Genomic DNA, 19,004 nt, shown 5'->3' on the forward strand with positions numbered 1-19,004 from the left:
CAGCTTCCTTGCCCCTTGGAGGTAAAGGATGTGGGCGTGGGCTCGGAAGTCCCCGGGAAGTGGGTGGGGTGCAGGCAGGGGCAGGAGTGGGTGCGGCGCTGGCAGGCGGCCTAGGAGAAGAGGGCGAGGAAATTTGTTCTAACAAGATGAAGCCGAGAAATGAGGCTAGCGTAAGAGTCACCAGGCACTCTGACCCAATCAAGATATATTAAGCATCTGGGTGTACAGCGATCCAGAAGATAACAGCGATGATATATCTGTCAAGAAAAAAAAAAAGGAAAAACATTCATTAATAAATCAATAAAAGAGTTAATATAAGCACAAGACACCACTGAGATGCTAATAATAGAGGGTGAACTTTTCTGGGGGCAATGAGGGGCAGAAATGACAATAAATTATGGGATGTTGAAAGAAAAACAGGGGAGTCATGATGAGATTGGGTTTGAAATTTATCCCGGGGCTGAGTAGGACAGGAAAAGTGGTGAGGGGTCGAAGAGCAGCCTTAGCCAGCCCATATCTGGGACAGGTCTGGAGTAGAGGAACTGCACATTTGTTCTTTATTTGGGTGACAGAAGAAACAGGCAGGTCGTATAAGCTTGGAAAAGTAGGTGCAGGGGAAACCCTCGACTGTCTTTTCAGTACTTAAGAGGTTACTTGTGTGCTTTAGGCAGCAGCAGCGAGCTGTGGCAAGCTATGCGAGGCGTGTGGGAAGGTGAGTGGGTAAATGTGCGTGCATTGGTTTCAAGTCAGCCGTCACCACACAGCGACACTGCTGTGTGGGGCTCTGGGGAGTTGCAGGGCTTCTGAGGGAGAAGGGAGACACATTCATAAACAGTGCGGGTGATAGACATGCACCCCAGGTGCTTCCAGAGTCCACAACCAGCCTGCAGGAGGAGAGGCAGTTGGACTCAAAGGGCCTTCCAGAATGGGCTAAGGTGTGGAGGTGAGCAGCACCTGGGAGTGAGAGTGGACTGAGGCAGAGAGACGTCGGGTAATGGGCCCTTGATGGTGCAGCCTGCCTGCAAGAGTTCAGATGAGTGGACACTGGGAAACACCAGCCTCCTATTATCTTCATGGCTTCTCTGAGCAGAATCCTAGGCTGTCACTCTTCTTTCTGGTCAGAAGCCCTGGGTGGACCTCAAGAAAGAAATTTGGAGCATTATTAGAAATCTCATCAGTACAAAAGATGAGAGTGAGTAGTGGGGGATGCACCGGTGACGCAGTGAAAGAAGCCAGAGGCCCTGCTGGTTGGAAAGGGTCCTGCTTTGACTTGATGTGGGGGAAACTCAGAGGACTGACCATAATCCTGAAAGCTGGGAAAGGATTTCTAAAGGGTCTCTTTTGGCAAAGGCTAGGAATGGACAGTTTATGATAGAACATGTGTCATGGGCTAATAAACATGAAAAAGTGGTTTAATCTTATTCTCAATTTCTTTGATCTTAGGGCCAAAGAGATGCATATGAAAACATTTCTTACCTTACAAATTGAAAGTTTTTTTTTTTTTTTAAAAGAATGCCTTCATATGGGGGTATAAATTATACATTTCTGGAAAACAAATATGTTTCAGGAATTAGAAAGGGATATATCCTCTGACCCAATTCCACCTTTATCTTTACCAAATACCCAGGTATTGTCTGTGGCCTTTCAGGAAGGGAAACTGGGTCACTGAGAGTCAGGGATGGGAAAGAGACTTTCCACTCCACTGAATCATGTGAAGTAGTACCTTTTTAGGAAACAAGTATATTAATCAAAATAAATTGATCTTTAATTCCTAAGAAGTATGTGCCGATGGAGTACTCTACAGCCATCTTTATAAAATCATGTTTTTCAAGGGTATGAAGTACACTTCACAGAATATGAGTTTAAAAAACACAGTACAAGACTAAATATATTTGCTATGATTCTAATTTCTATGAAAATTTTATGTACATGCATTAGAAACACTGGAAGAGAGTTCATCAACATCTTAACACTTTTTGTAATATAGTAGTGGAATGTTGGTTGAATTTATTTCTTTGTATCTTTTTGTATTTTCCAAATTTTCCATTATGTGTATATCTTTATCTCATAATAAAAATGTTTCTGTGGCCACACATACACAGATGCTTCCATTCCAGATAGCACAGTGAGCATACGCATTCATATCCTATTTTCTTCCAAAATTCCATTGAAATAAAAGAGAAAATATAAAAATGCAAATAAACACATTAGTGCTAGAAAAAAGAAAGGAGCTACCAGTGAGGGTTGACTTCATTAAGCAGATGGATCCTATTTCCAGAAACCAGAGCAAAAGATACTTTAAGCTATGACACACGGAAGGTACTGCAAAAATGAGTCATTCTTCCCAACAGAAAGCCTGAGTAACCACAATTCAGTAAACAAACGCAGAGTGTAAATAGGACACGGGACACTCAGATGGAATAAGAGTGTTAATATAAAAAACAACACTCTGAAGGTATTGAAATACAATATTGAAAAATTGTTTTGAAATTTGGGACTAGGCAAGGAAATATCATAAGCAAAGTAAGATGATAAACAACAGACTAGGAGAAAATAGTTTTGCATAAAGAGTTGACCATTGATAATTTGTCATAATATATAGCATTTCTATAAACTGATTGAAATAAGACAGTGGGAAAAATTGATAAAGAAATTTATAGGCAAATAAATATAAATTACTGAAAATGCCTAAAAAGATGCGAAATTTCACTCATATTCAGGAAAAGGAAATTGGAAAAGGAATAACCTTTTTTTCATTCATTAATATCCACATATTAAAAAGTCAGATAAGAATTTAGGATTGGGGCTGTGCATGGTGGCTCATGCCTGTAATCCCAACACTTTGGGAGGCCAAGGCAGGTGGATCACCTGAAGTCAGGAGTTCAAGACCAGCCTGGCTAACATGGTGAAAACCCGTCTCTACTAAAAAATACCAAAATTAGCCAGGGGTGGTGGTGGGCGCTTGTAATCCCAGCTACTCACTAGTCTGAGGCAGGGAGAATTGCTTGAACCCGGGAGGTGGAGGTTGCAGTGAGCAGAGATCGCGCCATTGTACTCTAGCCTGGGTAACAGAGCAAGACTCCATCTTGGGAAAAAAGAAAAAAAAAAAGAATTCAGGATTGGCAAGGGTGTGGGAACACAGACATTCTCAAACAATGTGGGGATATTTGTCTTTGAGTCTTTTATGGACAGTAATTGGGCAGTAGCTATCATAACTTTTGACTGCTATTTCACATTTAGGAATCTATCACATAAGAATATTGACACTTCCAGCACTCTGGGAGGCCGAAGTGGGTGGATAATGAGGTCAGGAGATCGAGACCATCCTGGCTAACATGGTGAAACTCCATCTCTACTAAAAATACAAAAAATTAGCTGGGTGTGGTGGCACGCACCTGTAGTCTCAGCTACTCAAGAGGCTGAGGCAGGAGAATCGCTTGAACCTGGTAGGCAGAGGTTGCATTGAGCCGAGATCACGCACTCCAGCCTGGGTGACAGAGTGAGACTCTGTCTCAAAAAAAAAAAAAAAAAAAAAAATTGACCCATGTTTATTGAAGATTGTGATAGTAAAAAATGAGAAGCTACTTGAATGCACAGCTATTCCATTAATCACGATATAGTCATGTAATAGAATTCTCTGAAGCTGAAAAAAAGGATGAAGTTAGAAATATATTTAGTGGCAGGGAGAAATCTCCAGGCTGTGGTCAGTGAAAAAAAAGTACAGAATTATTCCACTGAAATTAAATTGATGATTACTGTGCATTGTGCATGCACATGTGTGTTCACATGTGTGTAAAACAGATGGAAATGCACAGAAGAATGGATCTGGAAGGCTACACACCAAACCGTTGGCAGTAGTTACCTCGGGAGGGGCACAGAATTGAGTAAGGGGCAAGGAGAGTCGCCTCCATTATGATATATATTTCTGTATTGTTTGACTTTTTATAAATGGCGTGCAATATTTTGTTATATTAAAAACAGAAAAAGATGAAAAAAATGCCTACTTTTAAAAGACTCGTTTAAAGAACATGTTGTCTTTGGGGATTACTTGGTAAAACAGTAGAGTAAGTACAGTCAGCAGATGATACTTTCACAAATATATATGTTTAACCAAAATGCATTATTTGGCAGAAGGAGATTGTGAAATCCTCAGAGAAGTACATGATTAGTGTAAAGGTAGACTTATTTGTTCAATGACAGGAAGAGAGCAGTGTTAGGCTGGAACAGAAGTAGTAAACGAACATGTGAAAGAGTAGGATGAATAATACATACTGATAATAAATCCAAGAGTTGAAGGAGAAAGGGGACACGTGCCCTGTCACTTTGTTGGGGAAAGTAACTATATACCAAAGAAATGCAAAAGTTTCAGAAAGCCAAGACTCAAGGAAGACAGTGATAGGACTGGGCACATGACTGGATTTCCCTGTTTACTACATTTTTCAGAAAAACTGGGCATGAAGCCCGACACTCCTCATTTCATCTCTTGCCGAAAAGACAAAAGGATGTGTTGTTTTATGTTTGTTCTAGCTCTTCTATTTATCCCATGGTCATTATCACCTCTAACAAATTTTTTTTCCCCTGAATAATCATAGAATGAGCTACCGCTCATTTATGTAGATTTGACCTGGCTTGTTGTGCCAAGGTTACTTACAGCCAGAGACTTATGGGCCCAGATACATTTTCTCCTATTTTCATTTTCATTCTGCTTTTCTCATCAGGAATTTCTCTTCCTTTCTGACTCTCTCTGTGATCAGTGGAAATACTATTTGTGAAGGGCATTTTTTGCTTATACAGTTATAGAAAAAAAACTTTTGATGGATATATGATTAGGATGAGGAGTATGACAGGCATGCTCTCTCCCTTACTCTGTTTTACTGAAGTATAATTTATATGCTATAATGTACCCATTTTAAGTGTATAGTCTGTGTTGTAGTAAATTTACAGGGTTGTGCAGTTGTGCATTACTTCATTCCAGTTTCAGAATGCTTCCATCACACCTGGGAATATTTTAAACAAAATATTTGACTTAGATTTATTGGAGAGTGAAAGTAGCCCCACTCATGGGCCCCATGGCCCCAACCCATGTGGTAACAAACTTGTGGTTAGGTGTTCTCCAAGGATTCCCACCTCTCATTTTTATTTTTTTATTTAGATCTAAAGACGATAAGTAAGTTTCTCCATTGTTTTCTCTAGAACCCTCCTTCCTGCCCTCACTCACCACCATTTTTCAGGTCAAGCCTCTGACAGTACAACCTTTCTGGGATTCTGGAGTCATGTGGTTTTCCAGTCCATCCTCTTGGTTTCATGTTTTTGTCTGTTCTCCCCATCACATGAGCATCTGGGATAATGAATATACCCCCTGTCACTACCTCCTGACAATGAGGAGGTGTGTCCTATATGGATGGCAATCTGGCATTAGCTGATAATGCCTTAACTTTCGGGATTATTAGTTTCTTATTATCTAGGGTACATATCTTACTTCTTTCCCCAACAGTTCATTGATTACTTTAGAGGATTAAACAAAAATTTTTATGCATAATTTTTAGATCTATACTGAAACACTTTCTCTGAACATCTAGTAATTCCTACAGCCAGAAATGGCTGTCATCATAGTCATCTTTGTAAACATTTTCTTTGAGTTTTTGTTTTATTTTTTATAGAGACAGTTCTTATTCTGCAAAACTTTTTCACCTAGCTGGAAACTATGAAAAAAAATTAGCAGAGGGCCTATCCAGTTACCAAATACAATAAAGCTATGGTTAGAAATTAGTTCTGAGTTGAAAGAGGCTTTAGTAGTTTAGGGTACACTTCATTTGAATGACTTGTACAAAGTGCTAATTTTGGCATTATTTGTAATGGCCCAAAACTGGACTGAATACCCAAATAACTTGTTGTATATTTCCACAATGGAATACTATACAGCAATGAAAAGGGATGGACTACTACTACATACAATTTGTAGATGACTCTCACAAACATAATACTGAGCAAAAAAAAAAAAATGACACACCTAAGTACATACTATGTGATTGTACTTACATAAAGTTCAAAAACAGCAATACTAATCCATGTGATAAAGTCAGAACAATGGTTACCTTTGAGGAGTCGTGACCAAGAGAGGGTAAATGGGAAGTTTCTGAGGTGGCATCCATGTTCTACATCTTGACCTGGGCAGTGGTTACACAGTTATGTTCACTATCTAAAAACGTATCTAGCTGTATACACTTCTATGCATTTTTTTTAATGTATGTTCTATTTCAATAAAAGTTCCTGTATTCCAAGTCCTTCCACCCTCCTGACTGTGAACTAAAGAAAAAATTAGGCTTTCAAACAGTTAAAGTTCATTTTGTTCAGTCTTACTGAGGATTGCAACCTGGGAGTGTTTTACAGAGGGTTTCTACGTGGCTCCAAACCAGTGTTTCAGTCCACAGCTTGTATATCAGGTGGTGGAGATTCTGCGTGTGCTATTAACTTACATTACAGCAAAATTTCATCAAAGTTTGGGTTCAAGAGTAGATCTGGTTATAGATTTCAGAGGTGTAACCATCAATCCTGTCAGATATTATGTACAGAAAGAGTCAAAGGCTAGGACCATTGAACTTATCTTTTTTTTTTTTCCTTGAGCTAATATATTCATTTTCTTTCTTTTTTTTCCCTTAAGTTATCGGGGTACAGGTGGTATTTGGTTGCTTGAGTGTTTTTTAGTGGTGATTTGTGAGATTTTGGTGCACCCATTACCTGAGCATTATACACTCGACCATATTTGTAGTCTTTTATCCCTCACCCCTGTCCCACTCTTCCTCCCAAGTCCCCAAAGTCTATTGTATCATTCTAATGCCTTTGCGTCCTCATAGCTTGGGTCCCACATATCAGTGAGAACATACAATATTTGGTTTTCCATTCCTGAGTTACTTCACTTAGAATAATAGTCTCGAATCTCATTGAGGTCACTGGAAATGCTGTTAATTCATTCCTTTTTATGGCTGTGTAGAATTCCATTATATATGTAAATATAAATATATAAAAATATATAAAATATAAATATATAAATATATACATATATAAATATATAAATATATATAAATATATATAAATATATAAATATATATAAATATATAAAAATATATAAATATATATAAATATATAATATATATATAAATATATATATAAATATATATAAATATATATATAAATATATATATAAATATATATATAAATATATATATAAATATATATATAAATATATATATAAATATATATATAAATATATATATATCACAGTTTCTTTATCCACTCATTGATTGATGGCCATTTGGGTTGGTTCCACAATTTTGCAATTGTGAATTGTGCTGCTATAAACATGCACGTAAAAGTATCTTTTTCGAATAATGAGTTCTTTTTCTCTGGGCAGATACCCAGTAGTGGGATTTCTGGATCAAATGGTAGTTCTACTTTTAGTTCTTTAAGGAATCTTGACACTCTTTTCCATAGTGATTGTACTAGTTTACATTGTACTAGTTTACATTCCCATCAGCAGTGCAGAAGTGTTCCATGTTCACTGCATCCACGCCAACATCTACTGTTTTTTGATTTTTTGATTACGGCCATTCTTGCAGGAATGTGGTGGTATCACATTGTGGTTTTGATTTGCATTTCTCTGATCATTAGTGATGTTGGCCATTTTTTTCATATGTTTGTTGGCCATTTGTACGTCTTCTTTTGAAAATTGTCTATTCATGCCCTTAGCCTACTTTTTGATGGAATTGTTTGTTTTTTTTCTTACTCATTTGTTTGAGTTCATTGTAGATTCTGGATATTAGTCCTTTGTCAAGTGTATAGGTTGTGAAGATTTTCTCCCATTCTGTGGGTTGTCTGTTTACTCTGCTGACTGTTCCTTTTGCAGTGCAAAAGCTCTTTAGTTTTATTAGGTCCCAGTTATTTACCTTTGTTTTTACTGCATTTGCTTTTGGGTTCTTGGTCATGAAATCCTTGCCTAAGCCAATGTCTAGAAAGGGTTTTCCAATGTTATCTTCTAGAATTTTTATAGTTTCAGGTCTTAGGTTTAAGTTCTTAATCCATCTTGAGTTGATTTTTATGTAAGCTGAGAGATAAGGATCCAGTTTCACTCTTCTACATGTGGCTAGCCAATTATCCCAGCATCATTTGTTGAAAAGGGTGTCCTTTCCCCACTTTATGTTTTTGTTTGCTTTGTCAAAGACCAGTTGGCTGTTAAGTATTTGGGTTTATTTCTGGGATCTCTATTCTGTTCCATTGGTCTATGTGCCTATTTTTATATCAGTACCATGCTGTTTTGGTGACTATAGCCTTATAGTATAGTTTGAAATCAGGTAGAGTGATGCCTCCAGATTTGTTCTTTTCACTTAGTGTTGCTTTGTTTATTCAGGCTCTTTTTTGGTTCCATATGAATTTTAGACTTGTTTTTTCTAATTCTGTGAAAAATGATGGTAGTATTTTGATGGGGATTGCATTGAATTTGTAGATGGCTTTTGGCAGTATGGTCATTTTCACAATATTGATTCTACTCATCCATGAGCATGGGATGTTTTTCCATTTCTTTGTGTCATCTATGATTTCTTTCAGCAGTGTTTTGTAGTTTTCCTTGTAGAGGTCTTTTGTCTCCTTGGTTAGGTATATTCCTAAGTATTTATTTATTTATTTATTTATTTATTTATTTATTTATTTTGCAGCTATTGTAAAATGTGTTGAGTTCTTGATCTGATTCTCCACTTGGTTGCTGTTGGTGTATAGAAGAGCTACTGATTTGTGTGTATTAATCTTGTATCCAGAAACTTTGCTGAATTCTTTTATCAGTTCTAGGAGCTTTCTGGAGGAATCCTTAGGGTTTTTCAAGGTAAACGATCATGTCGTCAGCGATTCTTTTTATGTGGTGTATCACATTCATTGACTTGCTTATGTTAAACCATTGCTGCATCCCTGGTATGAGACCAGTTGATCATGGTGGATTATCTTTTTGATATGTCATTGGATTAAGTTAGCTAGTATTTTGTTAAGGACTTTAGTATCTATGTTTATCAAGGATATCGGTCTGTAGTTTTATTTTTTGGTTGTGTCCTTTCCTGGTTTTGGTATTAGGGTGATGCTGGCTTCATAGAATGAATTAGGGAGGTTCCTTCCTTCTCTGTCTTGTGGAATAGTGTCAAAAGGGTTCGTCCCAATTCTTCTTTGAATGCCTAGTAGAGTTGTGCTGTGAATCCGTCTGGTCCAGAACTATTTTTTGTTGGTAATTTCTTAATTACCATTTCAATTTTGCTGCTTGTTATTGGTCTGTTCTGGGTATCTAATTCTTCCTGATTTAAGCTAGGATGGTTGTAATTTTCCAAGAATTTATCCATCTCTTCTAGGTTTTCTAGTTTATGTGCATAAAGATGTTCATAATAACCTTGACTGATCTTTTGTATTTCAGTGGTGTCAGTTGTAATATCTCCTGTTTCATTTGTTAGTGAGGTTATTTGGATTTTCTCTCTTTTTTCTTGGTTAATCTTGGTAATGGTCTATCAATTTTATTTATCTTTTCAAAGAACCAGCTTTTTGATTCATATATCTTTTGTATTTTTTTTCTGTTTCAATTTACGTTAGTTCTGCTCTGATCTTGGTTATTTCCTTTCTTCTGCTGGGCTTGGGTTTGGCTTGTTCTTGTTTCTCTAGTTCCTTGAGGTGTGACCTTAGATTGTCTGTTCATGCTCTTTCAGACTGTTTGATGTAGGTGTTTAGGGCTATGAGCTTTCCTCTTAGAACTGCCTTTGCTGTATTCCAGAGGTTTTGATAGATTGTGTCATTATTGTCATTCAGTTCAAAGAATTTTTCAGTTTCCATCTTGATTTTGTTTTTGACAATGACCCAATGCTCATTCACAAGCAGGTTATTTAATTTCCATGTTTTTACATGGTTTTGAAGGTTACTTTTAGAGTTGATTTCCAGTTTTATTCCACTGTGGTCTGAGAGAGTGCTTGATATAATTTCAATTTTCTTAAATTTATTGAGGCTAATTTAATGGCCTATCATATGGTCTATTTTGGAGAGAAAGTTCCACGCACTGTTGAATAGAATGTGTATTCTGTGGTTGTTGGGGAAAATGTTCTGTATGTATCTATTAAGTCAATTTGTTCCAAGGTTGGTTTAAATTCATTGTTTCTTTGCTGACTTTCTGTCTTGATGTCCTGTCTAGTGCTGTCAATGGAGTATTGAAGTCCACCACTGTTCCCGTGTTGCTGTGTATCTCATTTCTTAGGTCTATTAGTAATTATTTTACACATTTGGGAGCTCCAGTGTTAAGTGCATATATGTTTAGGATTGTGATATTTTACCCTTTACCATTATATAATGTGCCTCTTTGTCTCTTTTAACTGCTGTTGCATTAAAGTTTGTTTTGTCTGTTATAAGAATAGCTACCCCTGCTCGATTTTGGTGTCCATTTACATGAAATGCCTTTTTCTACCTCTTTACTTTAAGTTTATATGAGTCCTTATGTGTTAGGTGAGTTTCCTGAAGGCAGCAGATAGTTGGTTGATGACTTCTTATTCATTCTATGGTTCTGTATCTTTTAAGTGGAGCATTTAGGTCATTTACATTCAATGTTAGTGTTGAAATGTGAGGTACTATTGCATTCATCGTGCTACTTGTTGCCTGTGTACTTAGACTATTTTTTTTGTTTTTCTTTTTTTGCTTTTTAACTTGTATTTTGTTTTATAGGTCCTGTGTGATTTATGCTTTAAAGAGGTTCTGTTTTGATGTGTTTCCAGGATTTGTTTCAAGATTTAGAGCTCCTTTTAGCAGTTCTTGTAGTGGTGGCTTGTCTGAAAACAACAATGTCTTTCCTTCATATTTGATGCTTAGTTTCACTGGATACAAAATCCTTGGGTGATAATTGTTTTGTTTGAGGAAACTGAAGATAGGTCCCCAATCCCTTCTAGCTTGTAGGGTTTCTGCTGAGAAGTCTGCTGTTCATCTGATAGATTTTCCTTTATAGGTTACCTGGTGCTTCTGTCTCATAGCTTTTAAGATTCTTTCCTTTGTCTTAACTTTGGATAACCTGATTATAATGTGCCTAGGTGAAGATCTTTTTGCAATGAATTTCCCATGTGTTCTTTGTGCTTCTTGTATTTGCATGTCTAGGTCTCTCTGGCAAGGCTGGGGAAGTTTTCCTCGATTATTCCCCCAAATATGTTTTCCAAGCTTTCAGAATTCTCTTCTTCCTCAGGAACACCAATTATTCTTAGGTTTGGTCATTTAACATAATCCCAGACTTCTTGGAAGCTTTGTTCACATTTTCTTATTCTGTTTTCTTTGTCTTTGTTGGATTGGGTTAATTCAAAGACTTTGTCTTTGAGCTCTGAATTTCTTTCTTCTACTTGTTCAATTCTGTTGCTGAGACTTTCCAGAGCATTTCGCATTTCTAAAAGTGTGTCCAAAGTTTCCTGAATTTTTGACTGTTTTTTCTTTTTTTGTTTTTTAGACACAGTCTTGCTCTGTCACCCAGGCTGGAGTGCAGTGGCACAATCTTGGCTCACTGCAACCTCTGCCTCCTGAATTCAAGGGATTCTCCTGCCTCAGTCTCCTGAATAGCTGGGACTACAGGTGCCCGCCACCACGCCTGGCTAATTTTTTTGTATATTTAGTAGAGACGGGGTTTCACCACGTTGGCCAGGCTGGTCTTGAACTCCTGACCTCAGGCGATCCACCCGCCTCAGTCTCCCAAAGTGCTGGGATTACAGGAGTGAGCCACTGCATCTGGCCAGCTGTTTTTTCTTTAAGCTATCTATTTCCTTGTATATTTTTCCCTTCACTTCCTGTATCATTTTTTGAATTTCCTTGCACTTGGCTTCGCCTTTCTCTGGTCCCTCCCTGGTTAGCTTAATAACTAACCTCCTGAATTCTTTTTCAGGTAAATCAAGGATTTCATCTTGGTTTGGATCCATTGCTGGTGAACTAGTGTGATTTTTTGGGGGGGGTGTTTAAGAGTCTTGTTTTGTCATATTACCAGGGTTGGTTTTCTGGTTCCTTCTCATATGGGTAGGGTTTGTCAGAGGGAAGATCTAGGGCTGAAGGCTGTTGCTCAGATTCTTTTGTCCCACGGGGTGTTCCCTTGATGTAGTACTCTCCCCCTTTTCCTATGGAAGTGGCTTCCTGTGAGCTGAACTGCAGTGCTTGTTGTCTCTCTTCTGGGTCTAGCCACTCAGCGAATCTACCCTTCTCCAGGCTGGTACTGGAGGTTGTCTGCCAGAGTCCTGTGGTGTGAACCATCTATGGATCTTTCAGCTGTGGATACCAGCACCTGTTCTGGTGGTGGTGGGGGAAGGTGCAATGGACTCTGTGAGGGTCCTTAGCTTTGGTGTTTAATGCTCTATTTATTTATTTATTTGTTTTTGAGACTGAGCCTCGCTCTGTCACCCAGGTTTGAGTGCAGTGGCGTGATCTTGGCTCACTGCAACCTCCGCCTCCAGGGTTCACACCATTCTCCTGCCTCAGCCTCCTGAGTAGCTGGGACTACAGGCGCCTGCCACCACACACAGCTAATTTTTTGTATTTTTAGTACAGGTGGGGTTTCACCGTGTTAGCCAAGATGGTCTCGATCTCTTGACCTGGTGATCCACCCGCCTTGGCCTCCCAAGTGCTGGGATTACAAGCGTGAGCCACCGTGCCCAGCCCTAATGCTCTATTTTTGTGCTGGTTGGCCTACTGCCAGAAGGTAGCATTTTCCAGAAAGCATCCTCTGCAGTAGTATGGAAAGGGACTGAGATTATATGCCCTTTGTCTTCTGATACCAGGGTGGATAGAGAAGGACCATCAGGTGGGGGCGGGGCTAGGCATGTCTGAACTCAGGCTCTCCTTGGGTGGGTCTTGCTGTGGCTGCTGTGGGGGATGGGGGGAGTTGTGTACCTAGGAGGATTATGGCTGCCCCTGGAGTCATGCAGGTTGTCAGGGAAGTGGGGGAAAGCTGGCAGTCACAGGCCTCACCCAGTTCCCATGCAAACCAAAGGACCCGACTCACTCCCACAGTGCCCCCACCAACGTCCCCAAGTCTGTTTCCAGGCAGAGGGGGAGACCACTTTGAAAACTTGCTGGAGGTATCTGCCTCCCAGCTGTGAAAGAAGAGCTTTAGTTCTTCCCCCCTCCTGTGAAGTCTGCACCCTGGAGTTCTGGCTAGGAGGCTTCCCACCCCATTTTTGTTGCCATTACTTTTGGTGTTTTAGTCATGAAGTCCTTGCCTATGCCTATGTCCTGAAAGGTATTGCCTAGGTTTTCTTCTAGGGTTTTTATGGTTTTAGGTCTAATATTTAACTCTTTAATCCATCCTGAATTAATTTCTGTATAAGGTGGAAGGAAGGGATTCAATTTCAACTTTCTACATATGGCTAGCCAGTTTTCCCAGCACCATTTATTAAATAGGGAATCCTTTCCCCATTGCTTGTTTTTGTCAGGTTTGTCAAAGATCTGATGGTTGTAGATGTGTGGTATTATTTCTGATGGCTCTGATCTGTTCCATTGGTCTATATCTCTGTTTTGGTACCAGTACCATGCTGTTTTGGTTACTGTAGCCTTGTAGTATAGTTTGAAGTCAGGTAGCGTGATGCCTCCAGCTTTGTTCTTTTGGCTTAGGATTGTCTTGGCAATGCAGTCTCTTTTTTGGTTCCATATGAACTTTAAAGTAGTTTTTTCCAATTCTGTGAAGAAAGTCCTTGGTAGCTTGATGGGGATGGCATTGAATCTATAAATTACCTTGGGCAGTATGGCCATTTTCACGATACTGATTCTTCCTATCCATGAGCATGGAATATTCTTCCATTTGTTTGTGTCCTCTGTTATTTCATTGAGCAGTGGTCTGTAGTTCTCCTTGAAGAGATCCTTCACATCCCTTGTAAGTTGGATTCTGAGGTATTTTATTCTCTTTGAAGGAATTGTGAATGGGAGTTCACTCATGATTTGGCTCTCTGTTTGTCTGTTATTGGTGTATAAGAATGCTTGTGATTTTTGCACATTGATTTTGTATCCTGAGACTTTGCTGAAGTTGCTAATCAGCTTGAGGAGATTTTGGGCTGAGATGAGGGGGTTTTCTAAATATATAATTATGTCATCTGCAAACAGGGACAATTTGACTTCCTCTTTTCCTAATTGAATACCCTTTATTTCTTTCTCCTGCCTGATTGCTCTGGCCAGATCTTCCAACACTGTGTTGAATAGAAGTGATGAGAGAGGGCATCCCTGTCTTGTGCCAGTTTTCAAAGGGAATGCTTCCAGTGTTTGCCCATTCAGTATGATATTGGCTGTTGGTTTGTCATAAATAGCTCTTATTATTTTGAGATAAGTCCCATCAATACCTAGTTTATTGAGAGTTTTTAGCATGAAGGTTGTTGAATTTTGCTGAAGGCCTTTTCTGCATCTATTGAGATAATCATGTGGTTTTTGTCTTTGGTTCTGTTTATATGCTGGGTTACATTTATTGATTTGCTTATGTTGAACCAGCCTTGTATCCCAAGGATGAAGCTCACTTGATCATGGTGGCTAAGCTTTTTGATGTGCTGCTGGATTCGGTTTGCCAGTATTTTATTGAGGATTTTTGCATCAATGTTCATCAAGGATATTGGTCTAAAATTCTCTTTTTTTGTTGTGTCTCTGCCAGGCTTTGGTATCAAGATGATTGTGGCCTCATAAAATGAGTTAGGGAGGATTCCCTCTTTTTCTATTGATTGGAATAGTTTCTGAAGGAATGGTACCAGCTCCTGTTTGTACCTCTGGTGGAATTTTGTTGTGAATCCTTCTGGTCCTGGGCTTTTTTTTGGTTGGTAGGCTATTAATTATTGCCTCAATTTCAAAGCCTGTTATTGGTTTATTCAGAGATTCGACCTCTTCCTAGTTTAGTCTTGGAAGGGCGTATGTGTCCAGAAATTTATCCATTTCTTCCAGATTTTCTAGTTTATTTGTGTAGAGGTGTTTATAGTATTTTCTGATGGTAGTTTGTATTTCTGTGGGATCAGTGGTGGTATCCCCTTTATCATTTTTTATTGCGTCTATTTGATTCTTCTCTCTTTTCTTCTTTATTAGTCTTGCTAGTGGTCTATCAATTTTGTTGATCTTTTCAAAAAACCAGCTCCTGGATTCACTGATTTTTTGAAGAGTTTTTTCTGTCTCTATTTCCTTCATTTCTGCTCTGATCTTTGTTATTTCTTGCCTTCTGCTGGCTTTTGAATGTGTTTGCTCTTGCTTCTCTAGTTCTTTTAATTGTGATGTTAGGGTGTCAATTTTAGATCTTTCCTGCTTTCTCTTGTGGGCATTTAGTGCTATAAATTTCCCTCTACACACTGCTTTGAATGTGTCCCAGAGATTCTGGTATGTTGTGTCTTTGTTCTCATTGGTTTCAAAGAACATCTTTATTTCTGCCTTCATTTCGTTATGTACCCAGTAGTCATTCAGGAGAAGGTTGTTCAGTTTCCATATAGTTGAGCAGTTTTGAGTGAGTTTCTTAATCCTGATTTCTAGTTTGATTGCACTGTGGTCTGAGAGACAGTTTGTTATAATTTCTGTTCTTTTTCATTTGCTGAGGAGTGCTTTACTTCCACCTATGTGGTCAATTTTGGAATAAGTGTGATGTGGTGCTGAGAAGAATGTATATTCTGTTGATTTAGGGTGGAGAGTTCTGTAGATGTCTATTAGGTCCACGTGGTGCAGAGCTGAGTTCAATTCCTGGATATCCTTGTTAACTTTCTGTCTCGTTGATCTGCCTAATGTTGACAGTGGGGTGTTAACGTCTCCCATTATTATTGTGTGGAAGACTAAGTCTCTTTGTATGTCTCTAAGGACTTGCTTTATGAATCTTGGTGCTCCTGTATTGGGTGCATATATATTTAGGATAGTTAGCTCTTCTTGTTGAATTGATCCCTTTACCATTATGTAATGGCCTTCTTTGTCTCTTTTGATCTTCGTTGGTTTAGTCTGTTTTATCAGAGATGAGGATTGCAACCCCTGCTTTTTTTGTTTTCCATTTGCTTGGTAGATCTTCCTCCATCCCTTTATTTTGAGCCTATGTGTGTCTCTGCATGTGAGATGGGTCTCCTGAATACAGCACACTGATGGGTCTTGACCCTTTATCCAATTTGCCCGTCTGCATCTTTTAATTGGAGCATTTAACCCATTTGCATTTAAGGTTAATATTGTTGTGTGTGAATTTGTTCTTGTCATTATGATGTTAGCTGGTTATTTTGCTCATTAGTTGATGCAGTTTCTTCCTATCACTGATGGTCTTTACAATTTGGCATGTTTTTGCAGTGGCTGGTACCTGTTTTTCCTTTCCATGTTTAGTGCTTCCTTCAGGAGCTCTTGTAAGGCAGGCCTGGTGGTGACAAAATCTCTCAGCATATGCTTGTCTGTAAAGGATTTTATTTCTCCTTCACTTATGAAGCTTAGTTTGGCTGGATATGAAATTCTGGGTTGAAAATTCTTTGCTTTAAGAATGTTGAATATTGGCCCCCACTCTCTTCTGGCTTGTAGAGTTTCTGCTGAGAGACCTGCTGTTAGTCTGATGGGCTTCCCTTTGTGGGTAACCCAACCTTTCTCTCTGGCTGCCCTTAACACTTTTTCCTTCATTTCAACTTTGGTGAATCTGACAATTATGTGTCTTGGAGTTGCTCTTGTCAAGGAGTATCTTTGTGGTGTTCTCTGTATTTCCTGAATTTGAATGTTGGCCTGCCTCGCTAGGTTGAGGATGTTCTCCTGAATAATATCCTGCAGAGTGTTTTCCAACTTGGTTCCATTCTCCCTGTCACTTTTAGGTACATCAATCAGATGTAGATTTGGTCTTTTCACATAGTCCCATATTTCTTGGAGGCTTTGTTCATTTCTTTTTACTGTTTTTTCTCTAAACTTCTCTTCTCTCTTTATTTCATTCATTTGATCTTCAGTCACTGATACACTTTCTTCCACTTGATCGAATCAGCTACTGAAGCTTGTACATGCATCACATAGTTTTTGTGCCATGGTTTTCAGCTCCATCAGGTCATTTAACGTCTTCTCTAGGCTGTTTATTCTGTTTAGCCATTCATCTAATCTTTTTTCAAGGTTTTTAGCCTCTTTGCTATGGGTTCGAATATCCTACTTTAGCTTGGAGAAGTTTGTTGTTACCAATCATCTGAAGCTTTCTTCTCTCAACTCGTCAAAGTCATTCTCCATCCAGCTTTGTTCCATTGCTGGTGAGGAGCTGTGTTCCTTTGAAGGAGAAGAGGTGCTCTGATTTTGAGAATTTTCAGCTTTTCTGCTCTGGTTTCTCCCCATCTTTGTGGTGTTATCTACCTTTGGTCTTTGATGATGGTGATGTACAGATGGAATTTTGGTGTGGATGTCTTTTCTGTTTGTTAGTTTTCCTTCTAACAGTCAGGACCCTCAGCTGCAGGTCTTTTGGAGTTTGCTAGAGGTCCATTCCAGACCCTGTTTGCCTGGGTATCACCAGCAGAGGCTGCAGAACAGCAAATATTGCAGAACAGCAAATGTTGCTGCCTGTTCCTTCCTCTGGAAGCTTTGTCTCATAGGGGCACCTGGCCATATGTCAGTCAGCCCCTACTGGGAGGTGCCTCCCAGTTAGGCTATTCGGGTGTCAGGGACCCACTTGAGGAGGCAGTCTGTCTGTTCTCAGATCTCAAGCTGTGTGCTGGGAGAACCACTACTCTCCTCAAAGGTGTCAGGGATGTTTAAGTCTGCAGATGTTTCTACTGCCTTTTGTTCAGCTATGCCCCACCCCCAGAGGTAGAGTCTACAGAGGCAGGCAGGCCTCCTTGAGCTGTGGTGGGCTCCACCCAGTTCAAACTTCCTGGCCGCTTTGTTTACCTACTCAAGCGTCAGCAATGGCAGACACCCCTCCCCAGGCTCACTGCTGCCTTGCAGTTCAATCTCAGGCTGTTGTGCTAGCAGTGAGCAAGGCTCCATGGGCGTGGGACCCTCCAAGCCAGGAGTGGGATATAGTCTCCTGGAGTGTCATTTGCTAAGACTGTTGGAAAAGTGCAGTATTAGGGTGGGAGTGTCCCAATTTTCCAGGTACCATCTGTCACTGCTTCCCTTGGCTAGGAAAGGGAATTTCCCGACCCCTTGTGCTTCCCTGGTGAGGCGATGCCCCACCTTGTTTTGGCTCATGCTCCATGGGCTGCACACACTGTGCGACAAGCCGCAGTGAGATGAACCCAGTACCTCAGTTGGAAATGCAGAAATCACCCATCTTCTGCATCAGTCACGCTGGGATCTGTAGACTGGAGCTGTTCCTATTTGGCCATCTTGGAACCTGGCATTGTGAGGAATAAATTATGACAAAAAAATATTCTTAGCTAACACTTACTGAGTACTTGTAAGGCATCAGAAAATTTCTAAGTTCTTTACACGTATTAATCAATTAGTTTTATTGCAGATGAGGCACCTGAAGCCCAGAGAAGTTAACCTGCCCAGACTTACCATTAGCAATTAGCACCAGGATTGTATTCTAAACAAGGCCACAATTTCAATCATGAGGATCTCCTGCCTGTTTTCATGGGTAATAACATATTGAGCCCTACAATTTATTGAGCACTTACTATGCTTGAGTCACTGTGCTAAGAGATTTACATGGATTGTTGTAAAGTCATTTCTACAGCAATTGAGTTGTGGCATGTTATTATTTGCATTTTACAGATAAGAAAGCTAGGGCTTAGCAACCTCAGTAATAGTTATCTAGTTGGTAAATTGGGATTCTGAATTTGAATAAGGGAGTTTGACTCCACCATATGGCCTTTCTTATGGAAGTTCCAGCACAGTATGTGACACATAGGGATAGGGCCAGCTTCAGGGACCTCCAGGGCCACACCCGGTCTTGTGCTCAGCAGGACCTTATGCTTGGTTTAATGTTTTGCCTTTACTGTATTAACATTACACATAATTTATCTATGAACTTGTGTTTTGTAAGAGAAATGCGATGGGATAATGGAGGCTGGGCATGAGCACAGAGGATGTGC

This window comes from Homo sapiens, chromosome 8 (assembly GCF_000001405.40).
Source record: "Homo sapiens chromosome 8, GRCh38.p14 Primary Assembly".
Taxonomy (NCBI): domain Eukaryota; kingdom Metazoa; phylum Chordata; class Mammalia; order Primates; family Hominidae; genus Homo; species Homo sapiens.